General features: G+C 44.7%; 1 long non-coding RNA gene across 1 annotated transcript in view, besides 1 other annotated feature; it reads left to right on the top strand.

Moving 5' to 3' along the window:
* Positions 1–5,697, top strand: part of LOC105371508 (uncharacterized) — a 40,615-nt gene extending 34,918 nt beyond the window's left edge. Inside the window, exon 4 of the long non-coding RNA XR_934185.3 lies at positions 5,518–5,697. This is a non-coding gene — a long non-coding RNA (uncharacterized LOC105371508). The remainder of the gene's footprint in view (positions 1–5,517) is intronic.
* Positions 15,933–16,487: an enhancer, noted in NCBI's record as "OCT4-NANOG-H3K4me1 hESC enhancer chr17:6042463-6043017 (GRCh37/hg19 assembly coordinates)". NCBI's record gives its function as "activates a minimal SCP1, AML or CMV promoter by ChIP-STARR-seq in primed H9 embryonic stem cells {active_cell/tissue: H9 hESC(primed)}" and the evidence as "EXISTENCE:reporter gene assay evidence [ECO:0000049][PMID:30033119]".

The following is a 17,036-nucleotide window of genomic DNA, read 5'->3' as shown; positions in this document are numbered from 1 at the left end:
GGGACATTATGAGCCTAATGTTTCTTCCTCCTTCCAAGATGAAGATGCAAACTTGGAACTTTACTGAGGTGACCACAACAGGCAACCAATTCTGGGAACAGAAGGGCAGCAGGCAGTCTTTGGAGAGCAAGGTGAGAAGTACCAGGCAGGTGAAAGAGCACCAGGAGGCTCACCACCAGCTATAAGCACTGTGTCTTTGTTGGTCCTCTAGAAAGATAAGAGGTGAGAGCCTCAGAGGGGTGGGTGGCTGGCCCACGGTCACGCACACAGCTGGCAAGTGGCAGAACCAGGACTCAAACTGAGACCTCCTGACTCCAAGGCCTTAGCCCTTTCCTCTGGTAGCTGAGGCAATCGAAGTATAAGAGAAGGAAAAGGAGGAGGATTATCGTCCTGCAAGCCGCCTCCTCCGTGGAGGAGCTCTCACTTCACCCTTTGGACGACAGCCACCAATGAATAAAATGAAGTGACAGTCTGTGAGTGCGGTCTCTCTTTTTCCAATTCAGCTACATCTGCCAACAGCAAATACCATCATTTCAGGCCGTGGGAGAGCTGCAGCTTTCGGGAACCTTTGTCACGCCAATGTAAATCTCACAATTTCCTTCTGCCCTCGCAAAGACATTCCTTTAAATTACATTACACACACCCCAACTCCCTCCCTCGTCCTGGCCATGTATGTTTTACTTGATGGCGGCCGTCAAACACATCCTGATTTGATTTGGGGTCTTTGCAGCCATGAAGATTAGGTGTTTTGCTTTTGCATCCCTTTATGGGTCAGCTCCCCAGGCGGAGGGAATAATGGTGAGAATCATAACAGCTGACACTGACTACATGCTGACTCTCTGGCCAGCACTCTGCTAATCTTTTTGCATCTAATATTTTATTTAATGCCTATAATCACTAGATGAGTTTGATATTATTATTAGTCCCACATAATAGGTATCTTTTTATTTTTTATTTTACTTTAAGTTCTGAGATACATGTGCTGAATGTGCAGGTTTGTTACATAGGTATACATGTGCCATGGTGGTTTGCTGCACCCATCAACCCATCATTAGGTATTTGTCCTAATGCTCTCCCTCCCCTTGCCCCCACCCCCAGACAGGCCCCGGTGTGTGATGTTCCCCTCTCTGTGTCCATGTGTGCTCATTGTCCAACTCCCATTTATGAGTGAGAACATGCGGTGTTTGGTTTTCTGTTCCTGTGTTACTTTGCTGAGGATGATGGTTTCCAGCTTCACCCATGTGCCTGCAAAGGACGTGAACTCATTCTTTTTTATGGCTGCATAGTATTCCGTGGTGTATATGTGCCACATTTTCTTTAACCAGTCGATCATTTATGGGCTTTTTGGCTGGTTCCAAGTCTTTGCTATTGTGAATAGTGCTGCAATAAACGTATGTGTGCATGTGTCTTTATAGTAGAATGATTTGTAATCCTTCGGGTATATATCCAGCAATGGTATTGCTGGGTCAAATAGTATTCCTGGTTCTAGATCCTTGAGGAATCACCACACTGTCTTCCACAATGATTGAACTAATTTACACTCCCAGCAACAGTGTAAAAGCGTTCCTATTTCTCCACATCCTTGCTAGCATCTGTTGTTTCCAGACTTTTTAATGATCACCATTCTAACTGGCGTGAGATGGTATCTCATTGTGGTTTTGATTTGCATTTTTCTAACTACCAGGGATGATGAGCTTTTTTTCATATGTTTGTTGGCTGCATGAATATCTTCTTTTGAGAAGTGTCTGTTCGTATACATTGCCCACTTTTTGATGGGGTTGTTTTTTCTTGTAAGTTTGTTTAAGTTCCTTGTAGATTCTGGATGTTAGACCTTTGTCAGATGGATAGATTGCAAAAATTTTCTCTGAAGGCTCAGAAACGTCAAATAATAGAGCCAGAACTTTACCAGCTGTGTCCCCAGCACTGACGTCCCTTCACTCAGTGTGCTGAGTCCTTGGGGACTGGGGATAGCTCAGCCCTTTGTGAACAGTCATCTGCCTGACAGTTCCACAACTTCTGGCATGAAAACCGGATCTGCTTCCAAGACCCAGCTGCAAGCCAGGCTGCTCAGTAAAGAGACTTCCATCCTAAAGGCCTGGCTTTGCGAGGCCAAGGGCAGTGGTTCTCAACGGAAGGCAATTTTGCCCCCCGTAGGACATTGGCAATGTCTACAGACCAATTGTCAAGACTCAGGAGGAGGGATTGCTACTGACATCAAATGAGTAGGGGCCAGGAATGCTAAATCTTCAGAGCCCAGGACAGCCCCGGAAACCAAGAATTATCAGTTCCAAAACATCATTAGTGTTGAAATTGGGAAGCCCTGGACTAAGGGGAATGAATGGGCCATAGCATATGATTAGGAGAATCATGGCAAGCAAATATTCTGCAGATGTATGGTTATACAAAATGCTTTTCTAGTGCTTCCTGTGTTCAAAGTCGGGTTCTCAGCACTTTTCATACCTTCACTCATCCACTCCTTTCAATTCCAAAATAAATTTGCAGAGAAAGGACTCTTTTTGGCAGCCCTATTTTATAGAGGAAGAAACTAAGGCTTGAAAGATTAAGCAATTGGCCCCAAAACACACAGTTCACGAATGGCAGAGCTGGGATTAGAACCCAGGCAGCCTAGCTCCAGTATGTAGCTGTCAGCTCTTCCCTGCACTGTCTTTAAGAGCTCAGACTTTGAAGCCACTCCAATCAAGTTCAAGACCTGGCTCTGACACTTATTATCAGTATGACTGTGAGAAATTGCCCAACTGTTCTGAGATTCAGCTTCCTCAACTATGTATGAAGGATTCTGTATTGGTTTTCTATGGCTCCCATACAAATTACCACAAACATGGTGGCTTAGGGCAACAACAATTTACTCTCATGGTTCTGGAAGCCAGAAGTCCAGAAGTCCAAAACCAAGGTGTCTTCAGGGCCACATTCCTTCTGGAGGCTCTAGAGAAGGGTTCATTCCTGGCCTCTTCCAGCTTCTGACGCTTCAGGTGTTCCTTGGCTTATAGCTGCATAACTCCATCTCTACCTTTGTCTTTACAGGGACTTCTTCTCTGTGTGCTGGTGTCTTCTCTTCTTCTGTCTCCTATAAGGACACTTGTCATTGGGTTTAGGGGCTAATCCAGGAGGATCTCATATTAAGTTGAGATCCTTAATTTCATTGTATCCACTAAGACTTTTTTTTTTTTTTTTTTTGCCAAATAAGATCATGTTCACATGTTCTAGGGGTTAGGATGTAGACAAATCTTTCTAGGGATCACCATTCAGCCCACTACAGATACTAATGCCAACATCGCTGAATGAGATTATAAATGTAAAAGAACCGGCCAGGCACGGTGGCTCATGCCTGTAATCCCAGCACTTTGGGAGGCGGAGGTGGGTGGATCACGAGGTCAGGAGATGGAGACCATCCTGGCCAACATGGTGAAACCCTGTCTCTACTAAAAGAACAAAACTTAGGTGGGGATGGCGGTGGACGCCTGTAGTTCCAGCTACTCAGGAGGCTGAGGCAGGAGAATCGCTTGAACCTGGGAGGCAGAGGTTGCAGTGAGCCAAGATCACGCCACTGCACTCCAGCCTGGGTGACAGAGCAAGACTCTGTCAAAAACAAAAACAAAAACAAACATGATATGTTCTCAGTAAATCTTAGATGATTCCAGGAGGCATGTGATAGGGATGTGCAGATGAAATTGCGTGAATGGTATGGCTCCACCTCATCTTGGTGGAATGATAGAATGCCTCATGGTTTTTTTCAGTGCTTTGGGTCCTGATGATTTGGTTCTGTTTATGGTTGCTTGCTTCAGGCTGAGCATCTGAGGCTAGGAGCTGGCATGGTTTCCTTATCTTTGTGCTGGCCCTGCTTCCTCCCTCCTGCCTACCCATGTTTGTCCTGAAACCCCAGTAGGCACACGGTCTTCTCAGAGCCTGAAGTCGCCCAGTCTGCCTTTGGGGAGGCAGGTTTTCAGGCCTGCCTTTCAATACCATCTTTGAGAGCTGTAGTCATCAAGGCGTTTGCTCAACAATCCAACTCTCTTCCTCTGCTTCTGAGCACATGAGAGGGTCACACCCCCTGATTCCTTTTGATTGGGTGCAGCTGTGTGACTGGTTCCAGCCAATGAGTTTGAACAGACATGACAGGCTTCAGTTTGAGGCTGGAATGTGCAGATGCTGGTGTAAGCACCTCAAGAGCTGTCTTTCAAACATGCAGTGATCCAGAAAGTGGCTGGCCCATGAGCTTGAGTCTCAAGGGAAGAGGGTGTGGAGCAAGATGGGTCCCCATAGACAGGGTGCATGAATGAGATGGGCACCTCGGTGTTTCTAAGCCACTGAGATTTCCAGGATGCATAACCTCACCTCTCCAGACTGAGACTCCGAGGAAGAGAGAGAAGCAGAGACTGGAAGGTGCCTCAGGAGGCAGCTCAGGGGAAACGCTGGCCATGCTAGAGACTCTGAATAAGGTGCGATTCTTAGAGAACATGCCATGCTCTGATCTGCTCTGGGGTCTTGGTGATTCATGGATTCACAGCCCATGAGCACAATGGAAACCTCTCCTCTGGGTCAGGGTTAGTCACATGGAACCTCAGGAAGGCAATAATGCAAAACCTGCACTAGCAATGGATCCCAGGCTCAAGGAATTGTGGACTTGATTTTGACTCTTTAGGTTTCCAAAGTAATCTCTCCAAAAGCAATGTTGGTTTCCTGGATTCAATTGTGCAACAGAAGAGGACATGCGTGGAGACATAGGGGAAACCCAAATAAAAGTCTGTAGTTTAGTTGATAGCATTGTGCCCGTGTTAATACCTCGGTTTTGACAAATGGACCCAGATTATGCAAGAAATTATTAACATTAGAAAAGCTTGGTGAAGCTATGCTAACTTTCAACTCTTCTGTAAATCTAAAATTATATCAAAACAAAAAGTTTTGAATATAATTTCTCACTGCTTAATTGACATGGAGTTTCCTTTTGGGATGATGAAAGTGTTTTAAAACTAGATAGAGGTGTTGGTTGCATAATATTGTGAAAGGTACTAAACGCCAGTGAATTATACACTTTAAAATGGTTGATTTTAAGTTATGTGAATATTTTCTCCATTTAAAAAAAATTATAAGGAGAAAAAAGAACAAAACCAAAAATCTCTCATGGCCACAGTAGAGCAGCAAATAATACCACAGGTGCTTGTGGTCTGCAAGAGTCTCAGACTTAATGGCAGCTCCAAACTTCCCTCTTTTTCGTTACCTACTTTGCTCTGTTTCCCAAATGCCTCCTCCCTCCCTCTCTCCACACCCACTTCTAATTCATGGTCCAGAAGCCTTCCCAAACCACCTCCTCCTCAGTTCCTCTCCCTCCCAGCCCATCCCACCTGCTGTGTCTATCAGTTCTTCCCACAAAGTATGGGGAAATGGTGGCAATGACTCCACTCACCATGTCCCAGGCATTATGCTAAGCACTTTACATCTATCAGTTGATCCTTGTGAACAACCTGTGAATTAAATGCCATTATTACTCCTATTTTATAGGTATAAACAGAGGGTTGGTCAAGAGGAAGGTCAAGCTGCTCCAGGTCATCTAGATGATGAGTAGTAGCAGTGGGATTTGAATACGCATCATCTCTCTCCAGCGTCTGGGGGGTGAAATTCTGGTAAATTCCATAGAAACAAAAATCCTCTGCCTAAAATGGTGCAGTTGGGGTCAACCAATGAGAGTTTCTCCCATTCTCTACTTCATTCATTCATCAAACATTTCTGGAATGAGTACTGTGTTCCAGGCACTGCACTAGGCTCTGGGATTCCAGCATGAACATGAACTTGTCCTTGACCTTGTTGAACTTACAGTCAAGTGGGAGAGGCTGGCAGTAAGTAAACAAAACACATGCACATATAATGTAAGTTGAAGGCAGAAATCTGGTGCTACGGCGGAAAATGAAGGACAGGTCCTAATTTAGGTTGGGAGACCCTGGCTGAGGAAGAGAAATGTCAGTCAGCCACATGAAGAATGGGTGGTGAGTGGACAGGGGGAATCTCAAGAAAGAGGACAGCCTGTGAAAAGGCCCTGAGGTTGGCATGGGCTTGGCTCTTTTGAGGACCTGGGTGAGTGGTATGGCAAGACCCGGAAAGTTCCAGAACAAGAAAGGCAAGATAGCGTTGACAAGATAGGTGGGAGGACCTTCTGGGAGGCTGAGGGGAGGCACTGGAATACTCTGTCTCTGCAGTGGGTTCTGGTCTGAGGGGAGTTTGGAAAGGTGAGGCTGGACAAACTTGGAAAATGCCCAAAGGCAAGGCAATGGATGAGGTTCATCCCCCTGGAAGGTGGTGACTGCTCTGCCCCATCACCACATGGAGGGGCTCAGAACAGAGCACAGAAGAAAGATGTTTACAATGGAAGCCTCCGTAGAAGAATATAGAGGAGGAACGGAGGAATGGAAGACCAAGAGGCCATCTTGGCATCTTCCCCCATCAGGTGGGATGGGCTGGGAAGGAGAGGAACCAGGGAGGAGGTGGTTTGAGAGGGCTTCTGGACCATGAATTAGAAGTGGGCATGGCGAGAGGGAGGGAGGAAGCATTTGGGAAACAGAGCAAAGCACTGGTGGTGTCATCATGGAGATGCGGTCTAGGAGGAGGAGCAGGTTTTTGAGAAGAAAGGGGATGTGGGACATCCAGACTCTGGGATCCCAGTGAGACACCTGTTTCTGCAGGTCGCTGGGAACATGAGATTGGAGTTAGAGAAGGAGGCTGGGGGTGGCAAGAGGATAGAGAAGTCAGCAGCCTGAAATGATGGCCAAGTCCATGAGAATGGGTGTATGTAGTAAGCGGGAGTTTAGAGAAGGGAGGGAGAAGCTATGAGAATAGAAATATGGAAGAAGAGAAGCTGGTGCAGGGAGCAGAGGCAGCCCATGAAGAGAGGTGGGGCAAGGACCAGACCTTAGTGACCTAGAATCAAAAAGCACTGGGGGCAATTGGTGCTCTCAACCATTGCTGAAGTGTGGGGATGGATGAGAGCACAGAAAAGGCAATTCACCCTGCTAATTGGATATTGGAGCAAGATAGAGAAAGCAATTTAAGTGCAGTGGTGGGGGTGGAACCGAGATTTTGAGGAATGGAGGAGTAAATTGGGTGAGAGGAAGTGGAGGCAGTGAAGGCAGGGGGATGGGAGTTGGTTGAGGAAGGATTCCTTCAGGACAGGGGAAATCTGAGTGCTGGGAAGCAGCCAGGGGCAAGGACTAGAGCAAGCATGAAGATAAACAAGGGAAGAGACTGCAGAGCAGACAGGAGGGCAGGACGTGTAGGGGGCCAGTGGAGGGTCTAGACACATTGGGGGTCTAGACACATTGGGAGGCTAGACACTTTGTGGGGGGCAGTACTGAGTGAATGTTTATCCAAGAATCAAGGGCTTTGGGGTCAAGTAGGGCATCTGGTTGGGAGCTGGACATCTCAGTGGGAGGAGTGAGAGGCTTGCTCAGTCAGCAGGTGGGCAGGTTTGAGGACTGTCCTCAGCACTGTTTTGTCAATGAGGTATGTTTCAGAGGAGGCAGACAGTGGAGATTCTGGAAAGTGCAGTGTCTGAGGTTGTAACTGTCATAAACCGAGCAAGCCTGGCTTTGAGTATCTCCAGTCCTCAGGGAGCCGCAGGATCAACCAGATGCTAGATCCCAGACCCTTACCTTCCTAAAAGGCCAAGGACTAGAAGCCCAGAATAAAAAGAAATGGGGAGGGTTGGGAAAACCCTAATTTAGGATTTGCTAAATTAGGCCCTGTGCTAAATATTTCATGTAAGTCATCTCATGTAATCCTTATAATATCTTTGCGAGGAAGATGGGAAGGAGTATTAGTGAGATCAAACGGCTGAGCTGGGATTCACACCCAAGGAAGGCAGAACCCAAACTCATGCTTGCTCCTCATGCAAGCTGCCTCCAGGTCACAGAGAGCTCCAGCTAAAAGAGTATTTTAGCGATGCCTGGTCACCTGGGAGTCTGGGTATCTAAAATGATGTGAAGGGAAATAAGGTGAGTTCTCTGAGGCTGGAAAGGGCTGACTTCCTACTCAGATGATCAGAATGATAAATAAGCTCATCTCACTTTTACTGTTCTGCCTCTGGCTGCCAGAGACCTATCATCTTGGGGGAAACTGAGGCAGCATAGCCCTTGGTCCTTACATCACAATGCAAAGTTCTTGGAACATGATCAAGCTTGCCATGCTGGCCAGACAGTGGTCCCCTTCTCTCCTGGCTCAGGAGCCTGATAGACCCAGGAAGAAGAGGGTGAAGCCTGACTTCCAGGCGAGTCAGCAAAGAGGAGTCAGTCCCCTTCCGATGGATGGCATTAAACAATGACAGCCTCATCTTCTAATCACATTACCTCACCGCAGGGGGTGTTTCCAGGCCCATTATCACATGGCGTGGTTGGCTGGATCTCCATTTGTCACAGCAAACGTCAGGCATGTGGTAATGGTCCTGTAAAACATGCCTTGTTGGGTCTTAATGTCTATTTAATGACACCTGCTATGAAGGCTCCCATAACTGAACTCATAATGGGAAATGAGGGGAAATTAGATTTTGGAGAAGGAGAGTTCTCTGAACGACAGGCTGCGTCTCCCCAGGAGAGGCTGTACTAGGTTGGCTGGGGGTGGCTGGTATGAAATTATAGAATTTAATTGCAGGAGACTCTCTAAGGGATGGGCTAGCCAAAAGTCCTCTATGTTCTAATGGAGATGGGCAGGCTGAGGCCCCGAGGAAATGGGGGACATAAATGGTTCCAGTGGGGAAAGATGGAATACCAAGCTTGATTTGCATTTCTTTTACTGGCCATTCATCTGTGCTCAAAACAAATACCAACGACTTCATTTCCTAATTTGGGGTAGAAAAGAAAAACTGAAGCTTGGTGGTAGTGGGAAATATCAAGGTAGAGGAATTTATTTATCTCCTTCTCAAGAGTTGGAAATCTTCTAATCCTTCTTCCATCAATCCCTCTCTTACTCTTTCTCATCTCTTGGCCTCAATGAGAGAGGGTAGGGAGAGGCAGAGAGAGTCCTAAAGAAGAAGAAAGTTTTGGAAAGGAGAGAGAGTGATTTCATTTCCCTTCCATGTGAAAATCTTATTCTGGGAATGGTGGCAGCCCTCAGAACACTTGATCTCATTCATTCTCCATACACTGAGCTAAAGGCTGAGCTGCTTACTATGGCAGAAAGTATTTTCCAAAGAGAATTGCAACAATAGCTTCCATCCCACCTGCTCTTCTGTCATGTGACCCCATCAAGAGGTGGAGTCTATTCCTCCCCACTCCTTGATTCTGTGTTGGCCTTTGATTCATTTGCCATCAATAGGATATGGTTGGATATAACACTGCATGGCTCCTGAGGCTGGATCTGAGAAGACCATGCAGCTTTCACCTGGTTCTCTTTTAACACTTGCTCTGGACACGTGCTCTGCCAGCTACCTTAGGAAATCTGACTAGAGAGGCTGCTCAGAGATGCTCCAATGAACAGCATCTCCTGAGCCCCCTGGTGACAGCGAGCACTCACTGCCTGCCGCCATAGGCAGGAGCTATCTGGGACTTTCCAGCCCAGTCGGGCCTTCAGATGACTGCAGCCCCAGCTGATGTGTGACTGCAAACTGTATGGGACAATGCTCAGCTGAGCCCTTTCTGAATTCTTCTTTTTTTTTTTTTTTTTTTGAGATGGAGTTTTGCTCTTGTTGCCCAGGCTGGAGTGCAATGGCACAATCTCAGCTCACTGCAACCTCTGCCTCCCAGGTTCAAGCAATTCCCCTGCCTCAGCCTCCCAAGTAGCTTGGATTACAGGCATGCGCCACCACACCCAGCTAATTTTTTGTGTCTAGTAGAGACAGGGTTTCACCGTGTTGGTCAGGCTGGTCTCAAACTCCTCACCTCAGGAGATCCACCCATTTTGGCCTCCCAAAGTGCTGGGATTACAGGCGTGAGCCACCATGCCCGGCTCCTTTCTGAATTCTTGACCCACATAATTGTGAGCAAAATAAAATAATTGTTTTTTAAAGTCTGTAGGTTTGGGGGTAATTTATTATACAACAGTAAATGGAAAACTTTCAGTCATGAATCAGATTTAGCCTTTGCCCTCAGAAGATTCACAATTTAATCAGAGATTGAAAACTCTTTAACCACTGCTCAAACTAGGACATGGTGGGTGCCGCAACATGAAAGCATACCCAGGAGTTGGCCAGACAGCCAGGGAAGGAGGATATTCAGTGAGGAAGGGCTGGCATGTAGAAAGGCAAGAAAGTATCATGAGATGCTAAGTAAGTGCCATCCTGATGCCTGCTTGGGGAGTCCTGTGTCTCTCTCATGTATAGAGCAGTATGCAAGGGTGTATTCAGAACCACTGGCTCAATGTGGCATGTCTTCCTAGAACATGAGTTAAGCCCATTAGGACGTTAAAACTGTTTCATATTAAAACCAGCAAGAATATATTACAAAATAAACACAAAACATGACATCATTTTTTGGAATTGAATTAGAGAAGTTCAAATACATTTTCAGGCCTTGCCACAGCTTCCTTGGAGGTACAGGTTTGTCGCTTATGGCCCTTTGATGGAAACATTGAGAACCTCTGTGTAGGTGAGGGATCTCTCTCAGGAGGTTTTCATCTGGGAGTGTGATAAGATCAGGTCTGTTTTAGGAAGATTTCCCTGGAAACAAGAATGGAAGATGGTCTGGGCTAGACTGCAGGTAGAAGGTCTGCTCAGAGCCTGTTGAGCCATCCCAGGTAGAGGTTCCATGGAATGAGAGAACCGTGGAAAAAAAAAAGAGGGAACAATGCCAACAATTAGAATTGGCAGCATCCCCACCCGACCTTCCAGGTCTCTGCTTGGATGTCTCTTTCTCCAAGAAGTTTCCATCTGGTATGGATTAGAACCTCTCCGGCCAGGCACGGTGGCTCATGCCTGTAATCCCAACACTTTGGGAGGCCGAGGTGGGCAGATCGCGAGGTCCGGAGTTCGAGACCAGCCTGACCAACTTAGTGAAACCTGTCTCTGCTAAAAACACAAAAATTAGCCAGACATGGTGGTGTGCACCTGTAGTCCCAGCTACTCGGGAGGCTGAGGCAGGAGAATCGCTTGAACCCGGGAGGCAGAGTTTGTGGTGAGCCAAGATCACGCCACTGCACTCCAGCCTGGGCAACAGACCAAGACTCCGTCTCAAAAATAAATAAATAAAATAAATAAATAACCTCTCCTGTGTGGTCCGACAGTTCCTTGTTTTCCCCATTCACGCTGCATGGCCACAAAATCAGCATTACCAATGGCATTTATTAAATTCTTTCTGAATACCAGGCACCTTACTTATTGTCAGTTGGGAATAGGTTCAACTGCATAGTACAGAACCACCCTCACTCCCCCTGCCGAAGAGTGGCTTAAGCAAGAAAGTGGCTGAAGCAAAAACTCTTCCTCCCCTGACAAGGAGTCTGGAAGTCAGTAGAACAGAGTTTATTCAGGTGCGCAAGGATGTCATTTGGAAGCCAAGTTCGTTCCAGCTTCCTGCTCCATCATCCCAAGCATGTGGTTTCTCCCTCATGGTCTGAAGTTGGCTGGCTCTTCCATTATATTTTTTCTGGCAAGTATTTTAAAGAAGTGAAGCTTTGTTCTTTTATTCAGGAAGGGATGCCTTAACCAAGAGTTCCATCTACTTCTTTTTTTTTTTTTTTTTTTTGAGATGGAGTTTCGCTCTTGTCACCCAGTCTGGAATGCAATGGCGTGACCTCGGCTCACTGCAACCTCTGCCTTCCGGGTTCAAGCAATTCTCCTGCCTCAGCCTCCCAAGTAGCTGGGATCCCAGCTAATTTTTTTTTCTTTTTTTTTTTTTTGGATTTTTAGTAGAGACAGGGTTTCACCACGTTGGCCAGGCTGGTCTCGAACTCCTGACCTCAAGTGATCTGCCCGCCTCAGTCTCCCAAAATGCTGGAATTACAGGAGTGAGCCACGGTGCCTGGCCAGTTCCATCTACTTCTCATTGACCAGAACTGAGACATGTGGCCATCCATCGCAGCAGGGGAGTCTAGGAAGGTGAGCACTTTCCCAGGGTGCATTGCCAGCCCAGTGGAATCCATGGATATTGGGTAGGCAACTAGCTGTGTCTGCCGTGACATGTATTAATGTATTTAATTCTCACAACAGTCCTAGGCTGTAGCTATTATTATTAATGTAATTTTGTGGATGACGGACTTGAGAAACAGGGAAGTTAAGTACTTATTTTTTTAAGATTACATAGTAGATGGAGGAGCTAGAGATGGATGGCATGTTTATCTTTATTTTTTATGAGACCGTAAGCAACCTGAGGGCAGGACCGTGTATTTATTGTTTTACTTCTGTCCCTGTACCCCTGTTCCCTGGCGTAGTATGGTTAATTGGCTTGATGGCTGCTTGGATGCTTTATTGATAGCCTAACAAAAATCTGAACCCATCCTATAGCTACATCTCATGACAATGGAAGGAGAGGTCAGAAGGAATCTCCACCCTGGCATGCCATTCCTCTTGGCCAAAGACAGCTTGGACTTGTTCAGCTCAGACTAAGTTCTGCTGACGGCCAGCCCAGCTATGCTTGGCTGAGCACACCAGGACTTAACAAGGTCTGAATTGTTTCAAGGAGTGTTTTTAACAAGTTGTAAATGTATTTCACCAAGTCCCATTGCTGTGTATAATTGATGCAGCTGATGAAAAGCAATCATGATCCCGTGAATCATTTCTGCCTGTTTACAGCATTTCATTCCCCATCTTCCAGAAGGATGCGCAAAGCACGCTTTAAAAGAAAACGTATTTGATATTGACATATGGTAAGACTGTCTTGCATCCCGCTTCTTCACTGGCTCATGTGATATGTGAAATAGAAAAAGGCAAGCTTGTAATTACTATAGATTTTATTTTTAAATACCCACAGATAATTGCCTTTAAGTATAAACAAGGGCATTTTCAAGAATGATGATTTTACCTCCACTTGGTTTGCTTTAGGATAAGAAATACAGCAGGCACCTTGGGATGTAATTATTTACACACACTTCTTTTGCACTCACTTAAAGAGATGGAATGTGTCTTGTTTCAAATTATAGTTACCCATTTTTCCCCCCGAGTGCCCTTCCTAAGGCTTAGTACAAGTAGTCATTTGTTGAATGTTTGAAAAAAATGAATAAATGAAGGAATAAACATTCTGGAAGAAATATTGAAAAATCCTGAAAGGGCAGTCTTCCTTGTTTATAATGATGATTGAGGTTGTCTAACAGTCTCTCTGGAAGATGGGCTTAAAGGAATGGAGTAGAGAATTTGAACTAGCAAGCATGAGTGCTTAGGTCAAAGTCAGGATCAGTACTGATATCATGCTAATGCTGCATAACAAACCAACCCCAAATTCAGTGGCTTAAAATAGTATTTATTTTCATAATCATGGGTTTGCAGGCTGATTACAGTATGGCTGACCTAGACTGGTCTCAGCTGGGTGGCTTTGCTTCAGGCTACAGGTTGACTGGACATGGCTCTAGGATACAGGATAGCTTCAGGTCCATTTTACATGTTTCTTTTGGGGTGCAGTCTGAGGTGGCAGCATCTACCTGGCACCTGAACTTTTCACGGTGGGTCATTGCAGTGCAGAAAGAAAAAAAAAATTGCACCAGAACATTTCAAGCCTCTGATTACATCACATTCACTAACATCTCATTGAACCAAACAAGTCATATTGTCAGCCCAAACAAGTCGTATTTTCAACTCAAAAGTAAAGAAGTGGGGAAGTATACTGTATAGATCATGAGGCCATGGAAACGGCGTACAAGTAAAATTCTATTACAAAGTAGTGAAGAGTTGGAAACAAAAATTCAGTCTATCACTAAGAAACCATAGGGGTAAAGAGGAGGAAACGGATAAGTGAGATGATAAGCAGGAGCTGGAGGTGGAGACAGAAGGGGGAGAATCCGTGCTACATCTAGGTGACTGAGTCGGGGTTTTAATCCCACGAAACAAAGGGCAAGAGCCACCACAGTAGAGTCATCCCAAGGCACTACAAACATCCTGCAATGCAAAAGTGTCACAGTAGCACATAATGTACTCTGTAATCATGCAGAAAGACATAATTTCCTGAGTGCTATTAGGTCTGCTGATGAGAGGAGAGACCACACAAGCTAAGCGGAGGTGTGGGTGGAGGAGGTTGACTAGATCCGTGCACCACCTATGCAACTCCAGCCACCCCAGGCCAGCTCCCTCCTCACCCTACTGCCTTCTGACCTCTGCTCCCTGGCTCTCACCCGGTCATCAGTGATTTCTTCCAGGCTAAATCCAATGGACGCTTACGGGACCTTCTCTTACTTTGATCATCTGTAGCCTGTGACACTGTCAATCATGTCCTCCCTGAAAGTCCCAATCCTCTTGAATTCTGTCTTGTAATTCTTATTTGCATTTTCCTCCTATCTCCCTGAATTTCTTCTCGGTGTCTTTTCGAGGCTCATTCAAATTTTCAAGGAGGAAAATGTTGGCGACTGAGCTAGAGAAAAGAAGCGTTTGGCAGTAAATGGTCCAAAAATATTTTGCTTTGGAAGCAACTAGAGCCTCACACTAACAATGCCTGCTGTAATATGGAATATGGAGAGTGAGCTCGTCTGGGACAAACTGCCATATTTGAAGAGTGACACTCCCATTTGAACAGTGACACTCCCCACCGCCCCATCTCACAATAATAAATGGAGATACAGGCTCAAGCCAGTATTGACCGCATCATCATTTCCACCTCCCTTCTGAGTTTCTGAGGGTAGGCTTTGTGTTAAATCATCTAAGTCTCCTACCCAGCCAGCCCCGGCACAGGACCTGGCAAGCAGTAGGTATGCTGTATTGATTGTGTCCAGTTATATCCAATATATATTATATTGGATTAGTCTCTCTATATAATATTCTACATATATAATATTTATATATTAATGCAAATATTTATATTTATATATTTTCATATTATTCATATCATTGATATATTATTTTATATATTTATGTAATTTTATATTATTTTTAATATATATAATTTAAAATATAAAATAATATAAAATTACATAAAAATATATAAAATAATTTTATAGTTTATGTAAATATTTATATTTATGTAATATTTACATATTTTATTCTTATTTACATATTTTTAATTTTGTATAATTCATATAAAATATTACATATAATATTTATTAATATAATATATTATTATATAATATTTATAATATTGCTATTGATAAATATTAAATATAATATTAATATTAATAAATATTTATTTATTGCATATGCAGAGGGGAGGGGGCACAGCTTTGAGCTGAAAAGTATAAAATGTGCTTCTCCATCTATAACAACCATCCACCTACCTTTCCACTCCATCTCCCCTTACCTTTCACCTGCCGGCACTCCACTATAATCACTGTCAGGTTAATCTAACCAAACATACCTCCGTTGCCTTAGCTCCACCTTCCTTCATCATTCAAAGTTCAGCTCAAATACCACTTCTTCCATGAAGCCTTTCCTGATTTTCCAGGAGGAAGCAACCACTTTGCCTCTGAACACCTTTAGCCCTTTCTCCAAATCTCTTCTGGAGCATGTACTACTACCCACCTTGCATCACCATGGTTTCTGCCTGCTGCTTGGAGACTTCCTCACTTGATGGCCAGTTCCCTGCAGCCGGGAATTTCTTTCAAGTTTTGACTTAACCCCAGTATTGAGCCAATGATTTGAATAGAGCAGGTCCTCAATAAATCAATAAATAGTTGAATAACAAACAAATTGAGGTAGGAGTGGCAATCTGGGGAAAAACAGTTATATGTTCTTAAAAACTCCTATTCCAAGTTTGTAGTTTTGGAAAAAGAAAAGTAAAATCAGTTTTTATTGAATCCATCTCCTCTCTGCAGAATTATTTTGTGGTCTGTTTCATTGGGCCAATTACATTTATGAAGACGAATTACGACAGGCGAGAACCCACTTACATGGATTACTGTGTGCTAACTATGTAATTAGCGGCCGGTGACTAAGAGGGGAGTTTTTGGATATTTCCATAAGAGAAAAACACATTATGATCCATAAAAAACAATGAGCAATGATAATTTCATTTTTATTGGTCATTTAAAAACATTCACTGATAATTCTCCCCATGCTTAATAGGCATACGTTTGCTGCCTTCAAAATATACTCATAAACTTGTCGCAGAAAGCACCGTTACATAATCATTCAGCCTTGCTTCCATTATGAAACCTAAATGAAATACTTTCAAAGATAAAAAGTGTGGAGAGCTTCAAGGGCATTGAAACAGGTGGTAGCAGTTATCCTGAATCAGCAGGGCTTTCCTGGGAACCTGGCATGGGCCAGGCCCAGGACTAACTGCTGCATTGTTCTGGAGCCAAGGGAGTTTCACACCTGAGAGGGTTTATCCTCTGTTTTGCATTTGAATTAGAAAAGAATAAGTCCCTGTAACCAGCATCCCATCCTTTCCATAATCAAGAGGACAGCTGGAAGTCCTTTCAAGGGACCTGGACCCCAAGGCCAGGCCAAAGGCAGGTGCGTAGCAGGTGATAGGAGATCTGAACTACATGAATGAATGATGAAGGCTGGGTGTTGAAATGAATGAATGTTGAAGGCTGGGTGTCCAAAGAATGGTTAGTTGGATGGATGAATGGATGGATGGACTCAGTTGAATTGAATGGAACGTCTGGCATGCTGTCCCTTGAGGTTCTGGCAGAGACTGCACTGGTTCACAGCAAATCTGGAAAGAGAACCAGATTCTCGGGCACCCAGGAGGCAGTGACAGTCTCCAGAGCTGCCTCTCAAATTCAGAAAGGAAAACTCTTTCATGTGTTTTCAAAACCACTGTATAAAATTATTTCAATCTTCCTAACTGGAAATTAAATCCTCCACATGAAAGGCCTTTTTCCTTTCTTTGTGTTCCTTTTGGCCATGCAATTCTGTTCTCTGGCCCCTGACTGACACCTGGCCCCAAAGCCCACTTTCCTATTGTGTACAAGGCCAGAAACCCATTAAGGATGTACATGGAGATTGAGGAGCTAATGTCGGC

The sequence above is a fragment of the Homo sapiens genome, chromosome 17 (assembly GCF_000001405.40).
Source record: "Homo sapiens chromosome 17, GRCh38.p14 Primary Assembly".
NCBI lineage: Eukaryota > Metazoa > Chordata > Mammalia > Primates > Hominidae > Homo > Homo sapiens.
Note: the sequence above shows the minus strand (reverse complement) of the source record. Positions and strands in the feature narration are given on the sequence as shown.